Here is a 21,259-nt window from a genome sequence, read left to right as displayed (position 1 = left end):
TGGGGTTACATGCGGAGCAATGAACCAACCAAAGTGGCCAGGGTGAAGGAAGCCACTGGTTGGCCGATTTGAAAATATTACATCTGCAAAGAGGCAGAGGTAGAATGGTCAGAGGAGGAGGAGGAGGAGAGCCAGGGGAGTAAGGCCAAGGGAAGAACTGGATTCATGGAGGAGGAAGTGGTATGTGTGCTATGGTCAAGATGAGGCTGACCTCATCTATGATCCATTGACTTCCTCTACCTGGTGATCACGGAGGACCTGGTAAGGCCGAGTTTGGTGGGGCAACCAGTGGAAACAAGATGGGTGGTGGGGTGGATGTATCCAAAATAAGCATGCTGCTCAAAGGGTGGCCCATGGACCGCTGGCCTCTCCCTAGTTCAGACCAACTGCTCTAGAACCTGCATCTTAACAAGAGCCCAGGTGGCTCATTTGTGTGTTCAAGGTGGAGAAGCACAGCTCTAAGGAACTTTGGCTGCGAAGGGACGAGAGAGGGAAGGAGGTTGGTGGAGGGAGTGTGGAATTACAGAAGGGACCTTTATTCTTCCTGAGAAGGGAGGGACTTGAGCAAGTTAGGTGTGTGTTCTTAACAATGGAAAAGGTGGGGGGAGGGGATGTTTTATTTAACTTTCTGGTCACCATGTAAAACTTAATATGTTGCAGGACACTGTTGCAGATTTGCAGGTCAGATTCATATCAAATGGGACCTGGCTATGCTTACTGCCTGAAAGAATGAATGTCGTGATGGTGATATTTCCCAGGAGCCTCCCATAGTGGATCCTGTGGTGACCCAAGTCCTCGCCATCCATCTGAGCATTTATTGCTGGACCAAGAACAGGTGCCCTGGGCCTGTGGAGACTCAGGAACCCTGAAGGCCAGCTCCACTTGCTTCTTCTCTGCCTTCCTTGTGCCACCCTCAGGCTCCACGTGACTCTCCCCGCAGCCTGCAGGGCCCTCAGGTTGTTCACAAAGGCGGTCCTGACGAAAAGGTTGAGAAAACAAACATGGTCATATGTGTCATCAGCCATGCACCCAAGTGACACTAGGGAGGCCCAGTGTGGACTGAGCTCTGGGTGGCTTTGGCTGGGGCATGGGGAGACACCCAGGAGCTGAGGGCCCTCTTCTTGCTGCAGGGTCCACCCCCGCAACTCCAGGAGCCTCCTGGATATGGCTTCTTGGCTGTTGCACTGCATTTTTCTCCAGAGAACCAGGGGACCGTGAAGGCACTCCACTTCAAACATCCCAATCCCTGTGGTATCAGTGGTGAAACTGAGGCCAGAGGGCATGGGAGACTCAGCCAAGACACAGTAGGGTCCCCCCTGCTCCAGGCCCCAGACACCCACCACCTCCTGCAGCTCCTGCTCGCTGCCAGAGGATCTAGGTGTGAAGCCCAGCTCTGCCTCCTTCCAGCTGTGTAGAAGTGGGCCAGGCAGCAGCTAACCTCACTGGGCCTCAGTTTCCTCATCTGCAGAATGAATATGTATCAACAGCTGCCTCTTAAGGGGGGTAAAGGGCGGAATGAAATGATCCATGGCTGGGCATAGGATAAACAATCCACAAAGAGCTAAGGTCTATTCAAAATATTATTGCTATCATTGGCCCCATTTTTCCCCTTTGGAGCCTGAGGCACGAGAGGTTATGTGTCCTGATAGGCTGAAGAGCTGGGATTTGAGCCGAATTCTGACTCCCCAGTCAGACTCCCCAGTCCATCCATGCAGTCCCATCACCACTTTGAACCTCAGTCTCCTCATCTCTAAAATAGAGATAATGATACTGCTGACCTTGAGAGGTGGCTATGAAAATCACATGCGATCCTGAAAGCCAAATGCCCAGCACAGTGCCTGGCATAAAAAATAAAAATAAAAATAAAATGCTGCATTATGCAAATATCCTTAAATTCTAACAGGTATGAGAAACATGGAGTAGCAGGGTCACAACTCTACCTTGTGGCAAAATCTGAGAACTGTGCCTGCTCTCACCCCAATCCCTCCGCCTGGGAGCCCTGCCGGTGCCCAGGCCATACCTGCTGCTCCCTGTGTGTGGCCAGCAGCGGGAGAGACGTGGAAGGACAGGCAGTGTCCAGCTTCTGTCACTGTGCTTGTCTACGGGGAACAGGGAGAGGCAGAGAGTGTGATTGTGGGTTCTCACAGCCCCTTGCGGTTCCCCACTCCACACCTTAGCTCAAGCTGCCTGTCCCCTCTGCCTGGTGGTGTTTAGACAATCTGCCAGTGGTCATATTTGTTTAACAGTCAAGGAAACTGAGGCCCAGTGAGGTGAGGTGCCTGGCCCACTTCTGCACAGCTGGAAGGATGCAGAGCTGGGCTTCACACCCAGGTCCTCTTGACAGCAGGCAGGAGCTGCAGGAGGGGAGAGGTGACCGGAGCCTCAGGCAGGGGGCACCCTACAGTGTCTTCGCTGAGTCTTCCATGCCCTTCTGGTCTGTTTCCCCCATTAGTACCACAGGGATTGGGGTGTTTGAGGTAGAGCTGCTTTACCACCCTCTGGTTCTCTGGAGGAAAGGTAGAGTGCAGAGATGTGGTTAACTGGAAATGCAATGGTTCCAGGTAACTTTACATTTAGCGCTCATTTCCTTTCATTCTTTTTCTTTTTCTTTTCTGTTTTTGAGACAGCATCTCACGCTGTCACCCAGGCTCTGAGCATAGGCTTTCTTCATGCATTTTCTCACAATTTTCCTATAAAATAGGTGCCATTCTCACTCTCATTTTGTGGAAGAGGAACCTGAGATTCCGAGTCATTGGAAGGGTGGAATTTGAACTTAGGTCTACCTGACCCTAAAGCCTGTCCCTTTCACTGCCACACCAAAAAGCCATGACAGGGGCCACCCAGTTCCCAACACACTACTGCATCATGAGAGTTTCATGCAATTAAAGGATGCAGGGCTTCAATCCTGTGGACCCAGCAGGTCCAGCACCTCTGCTCATTCCCACCCATTGCCAAGGTCTTGGAGTTCCCAGGATCTCTAAGGCCAAGATTCTGACCTTCTGGAATTCTAAATGTATATAATCTTGGCATTCTTTACTTTATTTCCCTTGGCAGATCCTAAAGTGAACCTTACTCATTGAGAAAGTGGCTTGGGAGCACCTTGCTTATGCAGGAGAGGAAAGCAGAGTGCAGAGATGTGGTTAATTGGAAATGCAGACAGTCCAAGGGTTCCAGGTAACTTTACATTTAGCACCAATTTCCTTCAGGTCTTTTTTTTTTTTTTTTTTTTTTGAGACAGGGTCTTGCTTTGTCACCCAAGCTGCAGTGCAGTGGTGCAATCATGGCTCACTGCAGCCTTGACCTCCCCAGGCTCAGGCCATCCTCCCACCTCAGCCTCCCAAGTAGCTGGGACTTCAGGCACACACCACCACACCCAGCTAATTTTTGTATTTTCTGTAGAGATAGGATGTCACCATGTTGCCCAGGCTGGCCTCAAACTCTTGGGCTCAAGCGATCCTCCTGCCTCAGGCTCCTGGAGTGCTGTGATTATAGGCAGGAGCCACTATGCCTGGCCTCTACTTCCTTTAGTTCTAACAGACTTAAAGTCAGGCTTGTAACCTGGCTTCATACATCTTACTGCAAGGCCATTGACCTGCTGGATGGAACATCTCATCAGCTTCAGATGGTCCTCAAGAATACTCAAATCCTAAGCTATAAATCCGACCATCTGTCTGAAGTGGAAGGGGCATTCACTTCCCTTCCCCTGTCAGGCACCATTCCTTTAGTCTGCTTCTTAGAGGCTCTTCTACCTCCATCAGCTCCATGCTGAATTACCTTCCCTTGGGAAATTTCCCAGCTTATCAGCTTTGGGCATATCCAAACATAAGCTCTAATGAAGGAACTATTTGTGGTTTGGCTGCGGGAAATCATTGGTGGGTAGATCAAGGTCACAGCCACTTAGAGGGGAGTCCCACAGTGATGCTCCAGCGTTTGAACATCCTTACCATAGTCTTGGCGGGGTCCCATGCTCATCCTAGAAATAGGAAGACTGAGGGGTCACTGCAACCGACAGCACAGAAGACATTAGAAGACGCCACCATGAGAAAGACTTGTTGCGGCCAAGGTTTTGCCCTGCTTTTCACCTTCCCAACATTCTTATTGAAAGAAAGGCCTTTGGAGACTCGGCACACTTTACAGATGAGAGGAGAGAGGCCCAGAGAGAGGGTGGGGCTGGCATAAGTTCTCCCAGAGAGTTAGTGTCTGAACTGGGTCTTAAAACCTAGGTCTCAGGATGCCTGGCTTAGGGCTGTTTCTGCTCACCTTTTCTGGCTTTCACCATAATGTTGGAGAAGTCCCAGAGAAACAGCAAGAGGGCTTAAAAGCTTCCCTGTCTCCCCAGGGGAACAATAGGCTTCCCCGCCTGCTTGGGGGAGAGGAGTGTCCCATCTTTTCTCCTGCCTCCTGCCTGGTGCCCAGCCTCGGTGAGAAACTGAGAAGTGGCACAAGGCACCCTATAACGGCAGTTAGTCCAGAAGTTTGGTCCAGGACAACTCTCCTTCTTTGCCTACCTCCCTCCGCTCTTGCCTCAGCAGTAAGCATAGGAGATTTGGGAAATGTAATGAAAGCACAGTGATTTTTTAAAAATTCCTCCAGACTCAGAAATCAGTTCTGGAAAGCTTCTCACAATAGAGCAGTGGGCTATCCCAGGAATTCCAGCCCTGCATTCTTCACCAAAAAGTGGCATAGCCCAGGAACGTAGCTATAACACCAAAACCGTAATAACCATAACGTTTCACTTTAACACCAAGGGAAGGGGCTAGTCCTGAGTCCGATGGTAATGCCTTCTTTACGGAGTCAGTTATTTCAATAACAGACCACAGTAGTGAAATATTTTAGGAATTTCACTATAATAGTCTTCCCTGTGGGGCAGGCTATCCCAGGAATCCCACAGCACTGATCATTATGGAATGGGAAATTTCAGCAATTTCACCAGAAGACTAGTCATCCTGGAGTGCGTGATCACAGGAAGCTCATGATAAAACCCTTCACTGCGCAGTAGGTCAGTTCAGGAGACCCACCCTAACACTGATCACTGTAGAGTGGGCTATCCCACGAACCTAACACTGGCCACTATGGGATGGACACTCCAGAGATCCCTCAATAACAAGAATCACTACGGAATAGGATGGCCCTAGAATGCATTGTAACAGTAATCATAGTGGAGTGGGCTATCTCAGGAACCACACTGCAACACTGGTCACCATGAAATTGACTATTCAGAAACCCTGCTTTGGTGCTATTGATCAGGGCACAAATTCTGTGTCAGGTAGGTGCTCTGAGGTCCTACGGTTTTACACCAATGTTTGAGGAAGGACTGTCCTGCCCTGAAGAGGGAGGCAGGACTGGGAGACAGTGGGGTGGATATGAGAAAACAAAACTTACTTTCAAGCAGCCAGTTAATGAAAGAGCCTGGGAAGTATTTGTCCTGGGGAAAAAACCAGATAGCCCACATTAGTTGAGCACCTATTGTATGCTAGACTATGTGCCTCTCATTTAATCCTCACAACAACCTTGCAATATAAGAATTATGGACAAGGAAAGGAGACTCAGAGATGGCTCTGCCCCAAGATCCCTGAAGGTTCTACTTTGTGGAACAAAACACATTCTCTGTAATTCAAGAATTTCTGTGAGTTAGAGGGGCCGGCAGGATTATGCTAAGGCTTGGGAGAAGCTGAGAGGAAAGGGATGCAGGCCCATCATGGACTTAAAACCCCCGAATATTGTGATGCCAAGTAACTCACTTAATTTAATATTTTAAACTAAGGGCAGGTTGGGCATGGTGGCTTACGCCTGTAATCCCAGCACTTTGGGAGGCCGAGGCAGGCAGATCACCTGACGTCAGGAGTTCGAGACCAGCCTGGCCAACATGGTGAAACACTGTCTCTACTAAAAATACAAAAATTAGCCGGGTGTGGTGGCGCGTGCCTGTAATCCCAGCTACTCGGGAGGCTCAGGCAGGAGAATCACTTGAACCTGGGAGGTGGAGGTTGCAGTGAGCCATGATTGCATCACTCCAGCCTGGGTGACAGAGCGAGACTCAGTCTCAAAAATAAATAAATACAAAAAATAATAATAATAAAGGTAAAGAGGAATAAACCACTAGTGTTTGAGCTCCTAGGCTGTGCTAGGTAAATAACCAAGCATGTTCTCATCTAATCATCATATTATATTCCACACACACTAGAATACCATTGATTAAGATATGCATTATTTAATGTGCCACTAAGAAATTTTTAAATTGCCAATTAAATTATGAAATGCCATTGAATATACAATGCATTCCAATTTAAGATATTTACAATGTAAGGAAAATGCACGTCTTGCAAGTGATGAATTAGCTTTATATGGGGAATGCTAATCATCCTCACCTGATAGAGGAAGAAACCGAGGCTTAGAAAGGTAAAGGGATTTGCCCAGGGTTGCACAGTCAAGCAGAAGCAGAGCCTGCCTGGCTCTGAAGCCATGGCACATACTCCCTCTTTTAAGGGGACAGCTGTGGGCACATTTGCTTGGGAGACTCAAGTGAGTGATGGGGCACCATTGAGCTAGTTTCAGATGTGAAGAAAATCTCAGAGGCGAATCCCAGAACATTCCTTAGGAGAGAAGCAGCTGCTCCTACCTGAAACTCCAGGCAGTGATACTGCTGAGACAACAGGGGTATTTGGGAGAGAGGTGAGAGGTGGTCCCTAAATAATCTGAGTAAGTGGACATCTGATGGAGACAGAGGGAGACAGGGGGCGACGGGAAGGGCGGACAAGAGAAACATAAGAGATAAGTCAACTGAGGTGGAGACTTATGAAGCTCATTCATTTTCCCTTGTCATCCATAGATTTATGCAGGAGACGGAGATTATTCCCAAACTGTTACATTGCAGCTATAAAGCCCACTGTCTTCTGGCTCAGACAGTGGAGCGTTCTCAACTTGGCATGTTGTAATCCATCTCTCTTCCTTGTCCAGCCATGAAGCTCTCCTTACTGCCTGCCTAACCAGCATCTTTCTACACATCTTCCCATCCATCCACCCAGCCACCAAGTTTTCCTTTTTTTCTTCCTTCTTTTTCATTCATCCATCTCTATAGCTTTTTTCTTCCTTCACCCATTCATTAATCCATCTATTATTTATCCATCCACCTAGCCACCATTCATCTTCCCACACATCCAGTAATAAATCTTTCCTTCATTCATTCACTCACCTCTCCAACCACCATTTATGTACACTTTAATCCATTCATCCTCCTATTCAACCTTCCTTCTTTCCTTCTCTTTCCATACTTTTCTCCAACTTTCTCCCTTTGCTTCTCCCATCCATCCATCCACATATTCTTCACCTTTTATCCAAGTTGCCTGCCTTCCTTCCTTCCTTCTTTCCTTCCTCCCTCCCTCCCTTCCTCCCTCCCTCCCTCTCTCCCTCCCTTTCTTCCTCTCTCCCTCCCTCCCTCCTTCTCTCCCTCCCTTCCTTTGTTCTCCATCCATCATTTCACATCCATACTTCCTTCTATTTAAATATCACTCATCCACCCTTCTATCCATACATTCTTCCATTCATCTTTTCATTTTTCTATTTTATCATTCATTCATACTTCTGTCCATCCACATTTCTTCCTTTCATCTCCAGTTCCTATGCCAACAAAGTTGACATGGTGGGTCTACTCTGTGCCCAGCAAGGACTATGAGACAAATACAAGAGAGAGTACAACAAAGTCTCAACCCTTAACAAGCTTCTGGTCTAGATTAAAGACACAGCCAAGAAACAGAGAGTTACTAAGCTATATGATGAATACCAGATGGGTGTGCACAGTCCTGCAGAAGTCCTCAGGAGGGAGTCCTTCTGCCTGGAGAGATCTGCAAAGGTTTTGGAAGGACAAATCATGGGAGTCACACCTTGAAGGGGTAAAAGAGTTTTCCAGGCACAGAAAGAGGGTGTAGGAAGTCTCCAAGAGCAAAGCCATTGTGTCTCAAAAGGGGCTGGCATGTATGGGGGTGGCTGAGGCCAACCAGCTGGAGCAGCAAGAAGAAAGACAAGACTAAGGCTGGATGGAGCAGTTGCAGGAGAGATCTCAACTGCCAGCCTTGGGGGTGTGCCCTTGATCCTCCTGGTCATCTGCAGAAGATTTTGATCAGAGATGTGATCCAGAAAAATCTCTCTGGCAGCCATGAAGGGGAGAAAGCAGGAGTGGGGGAAGGGGGTATGCAACGGTCTAAACAGATTTGGTCTCAAGCCATCGGCACAACTCACTTTTCAGAACGTTCAACTGTTGATAGATAATGTAGAACCAGAACTGGACCACTGGGCACAGCTGAAATACAGAGGAACAGAGATCTCGGTGAGAGGAGCCTTGGGCTACCCTTGCAGCCCAGCTGTCTCCACCTGGCTGTGTGACCCTAGATAGATCCTATCTCTCCATGGGCCTCCAGGTCCCCATCAAGGGACTAAATCAATCTAATCCAGTCTGAGCTCTGCCATTTTCTGCATGATAGAAATATCATCACATTACCACCATCAACATCAACCATTTCATTCAGGGCTTCTCAGTGTTGGCACTATTGACATTTTGGACCAGATCATTCTCTGTCATGCGTGGCTGTCCTGTGCCCTGTAGGATTTTTACCAGCATCCCTGGCTTCTACCCACTAGATGCCAGGAGCACTCCCCTAGTTGTGACAACCAAAAATGTCTCCAGATGCTGCCAACACCCCTTGGCATGCAAACTTGCCTTGAGTTGAGAACCAATGTTTTAATCAGTTTGAGCTCCACTCAGCAATGAACTATTTAGCAATGATAACAGCTAACACTTATATAGTGTCCTTGGGCAAGTCACCCCACCTCTCTGAGCCTTTTTTCTCATCTCAAAAATGGAAGGAATTATAGTCTACACCTCATAGCATGGCCATGTGGGCGACAAAATTATAAGCCTCAAATATTTAATTATTATAGCATTCTCTTTTCTTTTCTTTTTTTTTTTTTGAGATGGGGTCTCGTTCTATTGCCCAGGCTGGAGTGCAGTGGCGCGATCTCAGCTCGCTGCAATCTCCGCCTCCCGAGTTCAAGTGATTCTCCTGCCTCACCCTCCTAAGTAGCTGGAATTACAGGCACCTGTCACAACGACAGGCTCATTTTTATATTTTTAGTAGAGACAGGGTTTGACCATGTTGGCCAGGCTGGTCTTGAACTCCTGACCTCAAGTGATCTGCCCTTTTTAGCCTCCCAAAGTGTTGGGATTAAAGCCGTGAGCCATGGTGCCCAGCCAATTATAGGATATTCTGATAAGCCTCAAATGCATTAATTCAATGTTTGACAAATTTAAAGAACAGAAGCACAAATCAGTAGATGTGATGGCATTTTAATGAGAAACTTTTAAGAAAAAGACTTGACAAGATGCTTTTGTGAGTGCATCCTAAGAGCTAATTATTACCTTTAGTTAAAAGATAAGGGAGTAAGTTGGAGATTCACATAACAGTGTAAGAGAACCAAGGATAAATAGCTTTATTCAGGTGGGGTAAATGCTTTAGGTGAAATTTATATTTATTCTCTAGCTTGTCATCATAAAATTGGATTTCTGGCTGGGTTGCTAAGAAGGTCAGGAAAACATTGTTCATACCTCCCCATACTCCCTTCCTTTGCCACTTGAGTCCAGCTCCCACTTGCATCTGTCTATTGGAGCCTCCAAAACCTGCTTTTCCTGCCTGTGCATAGGCTGGAAGTACCATGGAATCAATGCTCCCAGGAGCAGCCCTCAACCAAAGACTGATGGGAGTTGGTATATAAATACCCCAGCTTCCTCACCCTTGGGTGGGGTAATTCTAAGGCATGTTCCATGCACTGAACCAGGTTTCCCCAAGGAGACTAAGCTCCAGCGCTCATAATGGTAACTGGCTTGATATCACACCATATGAACTGCCTCCTCTTCCCTGTCTCTAATCCTCACTCTCCTACTTGTACTTCCTGGGACTACCTCCCAAATAAACTGCTTGCATTCAAACCCTTGTTTCAGTGTCTGCTCCTGGAGGAATCCAAACCTGGTCAGCAGGACACAGTGCTCTTTTTCAAAAAAAAAATTCTTGTTATTTTGCAAGCATTGCAACCTATACCCTTAATCCAAACATATTTGTGATGGAGGCACTGCGTTTATTAGGCTGTTGTAGGGAATTGCGATTGTTTGTTTAAGTTGTAAACCCATGTTTGCCAGAAGAAGCTGATTGTTTACCAACCTTGTAATAATGAACTTGCTGGTGGAAAGCTCATTGATCAAATTGTAACCAGTAAACAGATGCTGAATTCTCTTGATAAGAAAAAATCTGTATGCCTTTCTCTTTGAAGAATAAATTTATCAGATGAGATTAAATGATTCTATCAGAATTTGTAACACAATGCAAATCTTCATCTTCCACAGGTGTAAACTACCTGGTATATAGTTGTCCCTCATGAAATGTCCCTTTCTCTCCGCCTTGCCCAGTATCAGGGACTCATAAAAAGGACAGGAAAGAAAACTCTGAGAGATTAGAGAGCCCAGGAATAAAACTGGCATGGCTGCCTCTCCCATCTTGGCTACCCCTCCATACTTCAGCTGCAAAGGGTCTGCCTAGTTTCCCTTTTCAAACTTACCATGTTGGGTAGGGAGGTATCCAGGATCCATTTCAACATGGTCTCCATCACTGCAGAGAGCAGGCTGGGGAGTAGGAGCATTAGAAACAATAACAATTATAGCTAAAGGTTACAAAATGTTTCCTTTGCTCCGGGGACTAGTCTAAGTTCACGGCATATTTTTTTTTGTTGTTGTTTGTTGTTTGTTTGTTTGTTTTTAGACAGAGTCTTGCTCTGTCGCGAGGCTGGAGTGCAGTGGTGCGATCTTGGCTCACTGCAACCTCCACCTCCCAGGTTCAAGCGATTTTCCTGCCTCAGCCTCCCAAGTAGCTGGGACTACGGCGTGCGCCACCACGCCCAGCTAATTTTTTGTATTTTTAGTAGAGACAGGGTTTCAGCATGTTGGCCAGGATGGTCTCCATCTCTTGACCTCGTGATCCACCCGCCTCGGCCTCCCAAAGTGCTGGGATTACAGGCATGAGCCACCGCGCCCGGCTCAATTCATGGCATATATTAACTCAAACTACCAGAATAGTTAAAAACACAGATTGCTTGAATCCCAGCATCACTATTTCCTGGCTATATGACCTTGTCCAATTTATATAACCTCTCTGTGCCTCTTATCTATAAAATGTAAAATAGGGTTGTTGTGAAGACTAAATGAGTGAAAGAAAAGAAATTGGCTGGAGTGCATTCAACCCATTACCACAGGGTACCTGCCTTCTCTTAAACAAGGGGTGTGTTTTACATTCTTTGTGACTTGAGCTAAGGCACTTAGAGGGCATTTCTCCTTAGAAATCATGTTCTAAAATAGAGACTGTAGAATGGCAGGCTGCAGGCCACACGAGGCCCACAGGTGTGTTTTCTTTTGCAAAAATAGTCTTTTAAATTTTTACAGTGAAGTTTCAAAATTTACGTTCCAGTTTCTTCAAAATACAGAAAACTGGCAAGACTGGGCCCATCTTCCCATATGGCCATAGTCAACTGGAGCCAAGGAGAGGCTGCCCACTTCAGATGAGACATGTGCTGTCCAATTCGCCACAGTGCCCACCACTCTCTATTGCATCCCAAAAATTGAAATTGAACTTGAATGTTGTATTTCCTTAAACTGGACCCCGCTTACTAATTTATGCCACTTTCCTACCCCTAATAGGCATTTGAGCATGTGACCCATGTTCTAAGGCATTGAATTCAGAATCTGGGAGTTAGAAAGGATCTCAGAGAACATGTGGTTGAACTCTCAGGTTAGCCTGCCTACCTTGTTAAACCCATGATGAAATTGAACTGTAGCACTCCTGATTTATAGCACCTCCCTGAGGCTTACAGCATCCTTCTCAACCATGAAATAATGACCTTAGAGATCATCATGGTGATTGGGTACACAGCCCAGCCTCTGGATGCTTTTTTAGAGAATGATCTGTTTGAAATATAGTGCTATAGAACTTGGTTAACCCTGAGCTCATGGCTCTTAAATTAAGTAAGCATGTATTTTTAGACCTCATCTCGTGAGCCAAGCTTAGGTTTTCAGGGTAGTCTACTAAAGTCTTTTCAGGGTAGTCTACTGAAGTTTTCAGGGGAGTCTACTAAAGTCTACTATAGTCCATCATTTGCTCTATTTATACTTCAGTTCATCCCTCTATCCATCCTTGCCTCCATCCATCTACCTACTCATCCATCCTTCATTCATCCATCCAACCATCATCCATCCATCCATCCATCCATCCTCCCAGCCACCCCTCCTCCCATCCTCACTTTCATTCATTTATTCATTTAACCATCCATCCATCTTTCTCCGTCTTGTTCTCCAGGAACAACACAGTGCCTACCTGGCTCCATATTTGTTGAATAAACAAATGATAAATCTAAGGCAGCCTCTGCTCCTATAGTGCTCATGCAGGCATATGCAGACAATTACAACACAGCATGGGAAGTGATTTGACAGTGATCCTGTCCAGGATCTCTCTATGTAAGTGCAAAAAGGGGAGCATGCCAAACTCCTTATAGGCAGGGGCACTATCAAGGAAGGCATGTGCTTTCAGAAAGAAGGCATTCCTCCTGCTTAGAAATCTAACCTCCCTGGTAGAGAAACCTGGGCAGAAGAGGGGACTCTGAAATAAGAAGAAAGGTATTCTGGTGGCATAGTTTGCTGGAGCTCTGGCCCCAGTAAGCCTGGTGATCACTGCAGCATGGCACTGTCCCCGCACTGCACCCTGCAGGGCACTCAGCCCGCTCTGCACAGTACCTACCTTGCTCGCATGTGGATCCTAGTGAAGACTGGCTGGCAGTTCTGCAAGTCAAGAGAGATTTGACCCAGCTTGGTCTGGGAGAGCACAAAGGTAGCCATGATGTTCACGTCCACTGTGGAGCCACTGAGGAAGCCAAGCAACCTGTGCACACAGCAGGAGGGCTGGCTGAGCTGAGCCCAGGGACCCACCAGAGGGAGGGCTCAGCAAGAATGGCCTGGGATGTCACCTGCCAGGGTGCACCCAGAGTTCCAGGAAAGGTCCAGGACAAATCGCTGGTCTCTTCTTCTCCACCTCAGTGATGTAAGCAACACTCTCCTCCCAGAGCAGGTGTCTGGAGATGTTCTAAAGGCTTTTCTCAAACTCAGAAACAAGTACTGGCATTTGTGTGTGAGAGAGGTGGCCCATATACAAAATTTTTTAAATGATGCCTGCTGTTCAGTATATATTTTTAAATTTATTTATTTATTTATTGACAGAGTCTTGCTCTGTTGCCCAGGCTGGAGTACAGCAGTGTGATCACAACTCACTGCAGCCTTGACCTTCTGGGCTCAAGCAATCCTCTCACCTCAGCCTCCTGAGTAGTTGGGACTACAGGTGCGCACCACCACACCTGGCTAATTTTTAAATTTTATGTAGAAATGGGGTTTCACTATGTTGCCTAGACTGGTCTCAAACTCCTGGGTTCAAGGGATCCTCCCACCTTGGCCTCCCAAAGTCCTGGAATTATAGGTGTGAGCCACCACATCCCGTCTTGATTTGTTTTTGAATGTATATAGGAAGTGAGTTAAGTAAATGTTTTAGTTTATTTTTGAATACGGAATACATTGCTGTGGTTTAAAATTCAAAAGATGGAAAAACGTACAGTGAAGAGCCTGGCCCCCACCAATGTCCCCTCGCTACCCAGTAACCCTGTTGAGATCACACACCTCACCAATGTTTTCCTTCCTTCCTTCCTTCCTTTTCCCTTCCTTCCCTCCTTCTTTCCCTCCCTCCTCCCTTCCTCCCTTCCTCCCTTTCTCCCCTCCTTCCATTCTGTCTTTCTTTGTGTATTCTGTGTCTATGCTTACCCAACCGATGTTTTTCATGCCTCCTTCTGGAGATATGTGCACATCCACATCCCCAAGCACAATTGACTTTAACCTCTCTGAGTTTTTTTTTTTTTCCTGTTCCGTAAAATGAGCAGAATAGCAGTACCTCGTTTCTAAGGTTCTGGTGAAGATCATATGAGACAATTCATAAAAGCCCTTAACAAGGGGCCTAGAATATTTTAAGCACTCAGTAACATTGGTCATGTTTTATCACCACCGTCATCTCTTTGGAGGATAATTTGGCAATACTTATCAAAAGCTATAAATTACCCTTCTGAGAATTAGTAAGTAAACAGAGATATGAACAAAGGTTTATTCCTCAAGATATTAATCACAAAGTTATTTATAAGCGTGAAAATTGAAAACAACCCAAGTATCTAACAGTAGAATGGTTAAAAATGTATCATGGTGCATCTATGTATGGAATATTTATTGACATTCAAAATAGTGCTGGAAAAGGTCTGGAAAGAAGCAAACAAAACTGTTAATAGTCATTGTCTCCAAGCTGCAAGATTAGTGATTTTTTTTGTTTGTTTATTTGAGACGGAGTCTCGCTCTGTCGCTCAGGCTGGAGGGCAATGGTGCGATCTTGGCTCACTGCAACCATCGCCTCCTGGGTTCAAGCAATTCTCCTGCCTCAGCCTCCCATGTAGCTGGGATTACAGGTGCCCACGACCATGCCTGGCTAATTTTTTGTATTTTTAGTAGAGAGGGGGTTTCACCATATTGGCCAGACTGGTCTCAAACTCCTGACCTCAGGTGATTCACGTGCCTTGGCCTCCCAAAGTGCTGGGATTACAGGCGTAAGCCACCGTGCCCATCCAGATTAGAGATTTTTTTTTTCTGCCGCATTTTATTTTTCTCCCCAAGTTTGTTACAATAAGACATAAAGAAATAGCAGAAAAAGAAAAAAATTAATCTCACACCTAACTTCCTGTTAACAGCCATCTCTAAGAAGCTGTTTAGGCAGATATTGCCAAGAATTGTCAGCAAATGCTAAGAATAACCAAAGGCCATTTTGTCAGTTGTTAAAAAACTGCCTTCTGAAAAGTAAAGAAGACTTTGTCTTGCATCTTGGATACCAGCTCAGCCACAATAGGATAGGGCACCAGGCAGAGTCGTGAGGCTGGCGTTTCAGGCCCTAGCTCCTGGACCATGTTTCTAGACACACCTTGGGCCAGAAGGGAACTTACTACTTTGAAGGGAAGGAGCCAGTCCTGGGAGGATCCATCACCTGCTGAATAAACAGCCCTTAGGCCCTGAATAACCAGCAGTGATATCCAGGTGCTATGTCAGAGCCTTGGGTGAGACTCTGAGATGTGTTGGCTTCAGGTGAGACCCAGTACACTCTCAGCTATGGTGGCAATGGTGAAAGACTCTTTCTGCTTGAAAAAAGAAGAGGGAAACATAAAGGGAACTCCATCTTGCACCTTAGGTACCAGCCTGGCTACAGAGGGGTAGAGTACCACGTAGGCTCTTGGGGTCCCCAAATCCAGACCTGGGCTCTTAGACATTTGTGGACCTGCACTGGGCCAGACGGGAGGCCACTGCCCTGAAGGATGAGTCCCAGGCATGGGCAGCATTCACCACAAGCTGACTGAGGCGCCCTTGGGCTTTAAGTGAACATGGATGGTGGCCTGGCAGAGCTCCCGTGGGCTAAGGCATAAGTCTAAGGCAGTCTCTGCTCCTGTAGAGCTCACACAGGCAATATACAGGCAATTACAACATGGCATGGGAAGTGATTTGACAGAGATCCTGTCCAGGATCTCTTGACGTGAGCACAGAAAAGGGAGCACACCACACTCGCTATAGGCAGGGCACTGTCAGGGAAGGCGTGTGCTTTCCTGGTAGAGTCCTAAGGTTGCTGAGCACTTGTGCACCCAGGTATATAAAGCTGAGAGATCGACTTTAACACTCCTCTTTTGGCATTGGACGAATCTTTCAGATAGAAACTCAACAAAGAAACATGGAACTTAATCTGCACTATAGAACAAATGGACTTAATTGATATTTATAGAACATTTCATCCAACAGCTGAATAATACACATTCTTCTACTCAACACACAGATCATTCTCAAGGATAGACCATATGTTAGGTCACAAAACAAGTCTTAAAACATTTTTAAAAATTGAAATAATATCAAGCATCTTCTCTGACTACAATGAAATAAATGAGAAATCAATAATGAGGAATTTTGGAAATGGTAAAAACACACGGAAATTAAACAATATGCTCCTGAATGACCAGTGGGTCAATGACTATATTAAGAAGGAAACTGAGAAATTTACTGAAACAAATGATAATAGAAACACCGCATACTAAAACCTATGGGATACAGTGAAAGTTGTACTAAGAGGAAAATTTATAGCTCTAAGTGCCTATATCAGAAAAAGAAGAAAATCTCAAATAAATAACCTAATGATGGATCTTAAAGAACTAGCAAAGCAAGAGCAAACCAAACCAAAAGTTAATAGAAAAAAAGAAATAGTAAAGATTAGAGCAGAAATAAATGAAACTGAAATGAAGAAAACAATACAAAAGTTCAATGAAACAAAAGTTGATTTTCTGAAAAGATAAATAAAATGAACAAAATTTTAACCAGACTAACTAAGAAAAAAGAGAGAAGACTCAAATAAATAAAATCAGAGATGAAAAATGAGATATTACAACGGATACTTCAGAAATTCAAAGGATCATCACTGGCTACTATGAGCAACTATACACTGATACATTGGAAAACCTAGAGGAAATGGATACATTCCTGGATACACACAATCTACCAAGATTGAACCATGGAGAAATCCAAAACCTAAACAGACCAATAACAAGTAACGAGATTGAAGCTATAATAAAATATCGCCCAGTAAAAGAAAGGCTGAGACCCAGTGGTGTCACTGCTGTATGCTACCAAACATTTAAAGAAGAACTAATACCAATTTTACTGAAACTATTTCAAAAAATAGAGCAGGAGAGAATACTTCAAAGTCATTCTTATGAGGTCAGTATTATTCTGATACCAAACCCAGACAAAGACACATCAAAAAAAAGAAAACTACAGGCCATTATCTCTATATCTCTGATAAATATTGATGTAAAATCCTCAACAAAATACTAGCAAACCAAAAAGATCATTCATCATGACCAAGTGGGATTTATCCCAGGGATGCAAGGATAGTTTAACATATGCAAATCAATCAGTATTATACATCATATCAATAGAATGAAGGATAAAAACTATATGATAATTTCAAATGATGCTGAAAAAACATTTGATAGAATTCAACATTCCTTCACGATAAACCCCCCCCCCCCACAAAAAAAACTGGGTATAAAAGGAACATACCTCAGCAAGATAAAAGCCATATGTACAGATCCTCAGTTAGTATAATACTGAACGGGGAAAAACTGAAAGCTTTTCCTTTAAGATCTGCAATAAGCCACAGATGCCCACTTTCACCACTGTTATTCAGCGTAGTACTGAGGTCCTAGCTAGAGATATCAGACAAGAGAAAGAAATAAAGGGCATCCAAGTTGGAAAGAAAAAGTCAAATTGTCCTTTCTTGCAGATGATATGATCTTGTATTTGGAAAAACCTAAAGACTCCACCACAAAACTATTAGAACTGATAAACAAATTCAGTAAAGTTGAAGGATGCAAAATCAACTTGCAATAATCCGTAATATTTCTTTATGCCAACAGTTAACAATATGAAAAAGAAATTAAAGTAAAGTAATCCCACTTACAATAGCTGCAGATAAAATTAAATACCTAGGAATTAACCAAATAAGTGAAAGATTTCTACAATGAAAACTATAAAACACTGACAAAAGAAATTTAAAAAGGCACCAAAAAATTGAAAGATATTTCATGTTCATGGATTGGAAGACTCAATATTGTTAAAATGTCCATACTACCCAAAGCAATCTACAGATTGTATGCAATCCCTATCAAAATACAAATAACATGGCTCAAAGAAATAGAAAAATAATTATAAAATTCATCTGGAACCACAAAAGACCCAGCATAGCCAAAGCTATCCAGAGTAAAAGGAACAAAACTGGAAGAATCCCATTATCTGACTTCAAATTATGCTGCAGAGCTACAATAACCAAAACAGCATGGTACCGGCATAGAAACAGATACACAGATCTATGGAATAGAATCGAGAACTCAGAGACAAATCCATACACTGAACTAATTTTTAACAAAGGTACCAAGAACATATACTGGGGAAAAGACAGTCTCTTCAATAAATGGTGCTGGGAAAATTGGATATCCATATGCAGAAGAATGAAACTAGACACCTATCTCTCACCATATACAAAACTCAAATAAAAATGGATTAAAGACTTAAATATAAAACTTCAAACTATAAAAGTACTAAAAGGAAACATTGGGGAAACTCCAGGACATTGGTCTGGGCAAAACTTTCTTGAGTAATACCCCACAAGCACAGGCAACCAAAGCAAAAGTGAACAAATGAGATAACATCAAGTTTAAAAGCTTCTGCACAACAAAGGAAACAATCAACGAAGTGAAGAGACAACCCACAGAATGGGAGAAAATATTTGCAAACTACCCATCTGACAAGGGAGTAATAACCAGAATATATAAGGAGCTCAAACAACTCTATAGGAAAACATCTAATAATCTAATTTGAAAATGAGCAAAAGATCTGAATACACATTTCTGTAAAGAAGACATACAAATGCCAAACAGGCATATGAAAAGGTGCTTGATAACATGGATCATTGGAGACATGCAGATCAAAACTGCGATGAGATATCATCTCACCCCAGTTAGAATGGCTTTTATCCAAGACAGGAAATAATAAATACTGGCGAGGATGTGGAGAAAAGGGAACCCTCGTACACTGTTGGTGGGAATATAAATTAGTACAACCACTATGTAGAACAGTTTGGAGGGTCCTCAAAAAACTAAAGATAGAGCCACCTTATGATCCAATAATCCCACTTCTGAGTATATACACTCCTAAAAAGGAAATCAGTATATTGAAGGGATATCTGCACGCCCATGTTTGTTGCAGCACTATTCACAATAGCCAAGATTTGAAAGCAACTTAAGTGTCCATCAAAAGATGAATGGATAAAGAAAACGTGGTACATATATACAATGAAGTAGTATTCAGCCATAAAAATAATGAGATCCTGTTATTTGCAACAACCTGGATGGAACTGGAGATCATTATGTTAAGTATAATAAGCCAGGCACAGAAAGACACTTTGCATGTTCTCACTTATTTGTGCAGCTAAAAATTAAACCAGTTGAACTCATAGTGATAGAAGGATGGTTACCAGAGGCTGGAAAGGGTAGTGAGGTGATAGGAGTGGGGAAGGGATGATTAATGGGTACAAAAATCATTAGAAAGAATAAATATGACCCAGTATTTGATAGCACAACAGGGTGATTATAGTCAATAATAATTTAATTGTACTTTAAAAATAACTAAAAGAGCATAATTGGATTGTTCATAACACCAAGGATAAGTGTGTGAGGGGATAGATACCCCATTTACCATGATATGATTATTACATATTGCATGCCCATATCAAAGTATCTCATGTAACCCATAAGTATATATGCCTACTATGTTTCCACAAAAATTAAACATTTAAAAAAACTGCCTACTATCTCCAAGAATTCTCTTCCACCTGGCTTCTCTTGCCATGAATAAGTTACTCACCCTGGGAGTTTGATAGTCAACCTGGTCTGAAATTCTAGTTGGAGGTTGGATAAAGGATAGACCTTCTTCCACGCCACCTGGATGATATCAAAGTTGATGATTTTGAGCCTGAAGAATGGGAAGAGCAAGGTGAAGTGGAAAAGCAGAACTTCCCAGTCTTCTCGACTTATTACTCAAACTTCAACATGGCTTTTCTTCTATCCTGGGCCTTCGTATCCTTGACCTAGATTTCCATTCTAAATCCCATTTCCAAATCCTAGACAAGAAAAGCATTAGCTGATAACTAACACTTTTGTAGTTAATTAAGATGTTAAAGGAAAATTAAGATGTCAAATTCAAAGCATCAGTTGGAAATTACAGTGTTAGCATACAAAGATGCTGTTTTTAACCACTGGGGTATTAAATAATAACTAAAGTACTAGCTGGGAAGAGCTTCTGCTGTACCCCTTTTCAATGCTATTTGTAATTTAGTGGAGGCTTAGACAAACCTTCATAAATCCAAGGGGTGAAGCCATAATGATGGGATGCTGGGCAGTGGGCTGAGAGTTTGCAGGAGGAGGCGGCGTCTGAGGCTGCCTTCTTACTGTCTGCCTTCCAATTAGGTGAGTCAGACTCCAACACTTAACATATAGTGAGCACCTAGAACCCTTGTTGATCAGTGCATTGGGAAACTGTTTTATTGATGAAGGACTTAAACTTACCAGCTGTTGAGTTTCCCGAAAGAAGTGCTCTTCAGAACATTGTTGATGCCAACAAGACTCCCGTGGCCACAGAGGCCCCCCAGAGAACCCTTGCAGAGCAGTCCTTCCAGAGCCAGAGACCCTGCTGCCTCCAGCAGATGATCTTTTCCAGTAGGTAAGGTCCTGCTGCCCAGGAGGATCTTAAGTAGCATCTCTCTCTCCCTAACCAGATTCTGGTTGTTGAGAATGATGGCTCCAAGCAGCCCTTCCTGAGCCAGGAGGTCTTTGTTGAGGGCAGTTGTTGGCAATTGCTGACTGAGTGTGTTTCCAGCTCCTGCTCCTATACCCCCCTCCTTGACCATCATGAACCGGGGGAGGCAGTGTGTTGCCATTGACTGGACTCCTGTGTTGGGGAGCCTTATCATCCACTGGGGATCCCATGTGGCCAAGATCTCCAGATGGTGTTTCCCCAGGTGGACCAGAGGGGCCAGGGGTGCCACGCCCAGGCTGGCCGTGACCTAAGTAGAACCCAGCCCCAGACTTGTCATAATCATTAGGTGGCCTAGCTCCTGAGTGGCCACAGCTAAAAGATACTCCAGCCCCAAATTGACCATAACCTCTAGACTGACCGAGCTTCAGACTGACCATGACTGTCATGTGACTTAGCTCCAGACTGACCATAGCCAACAGATATCCCAGCCCCAAACTGACCAGAATTTATAGATGATCCAGCCCCAGAATGCATATCACGATCAGATGTCCCTTCTCCAAGTTGAACATTTCCTCCTGATGATCTTGCCCCAGGTTGAACAGAGCCATCAGACAGTCCCACCCCAAGCTGACCATTCATTGATTCAACCCTAGACTGACCCAGCACACCAGATGACCTAACTCTGGGCTGACCATTCAATGATACAGTCTCAGATTGACTAAAATGACTAGGTGACCCATACCTAGG

The 21,259-nt window shown here is 44.3% G+C and overlaps 1 long non-coding RNA gene across 6 annotated transcripts; it reads right to left on the bottom strand.

The window, feature by feature from the left end:
* Positions 1 to 597: 597 nt before the first annotated feature.
* Positions 598 to 20,884, bottom strand: LOC105372714 (uncharacterized). 6 transcript variants are annotated; one of them, XR_001754580.1, is made up of 5 exons: positions 20,323 to 20,884; positions 19,622 to 19,877; positions 5,383 to 5,425; positions 3,945 to 3,999; positions 598 to 975 (listed from the first exon to the last, which is right to left on the bottom strand). It is a non-coding gene; the product is annotated as an uncharacterized LOC105372714 (long non-coding RNA). The 6 variants fall into 6 exon arrangements; XR_001754579.1 differs by having other exon boundaries at positions 19,622 to 19,729; XR_005647057.1 differs by lacking the exons at positions 3,945 to 3,999; positions 19,622 to 19,877; positions 20,323 to 20,884 and adding exons at positions 8,236 to 8,296; positions 10,603 to 10,666; positions 12,828 to 12,869.
* Between the last annotated feature and the right edge of the window lie 375 nt (positions 20,885 to 21,259).

Source organism: Homo sapiens, chromosome 20, assembly GCF_000001405.40.
Source record: "Homo sapiens chromosome 20, GRCh38.p14 Primary Assembly".
Lineage (NCBI taxonomy): Eukaryota > Metazoa > Chordata > Mammalia > Primates > Hominidae > Homo > Homo sapiens.
Note: the sequence above shows the minus strand (reverse complement) of the source record. Positions and strands in the feature narration are given on the sequence as shown.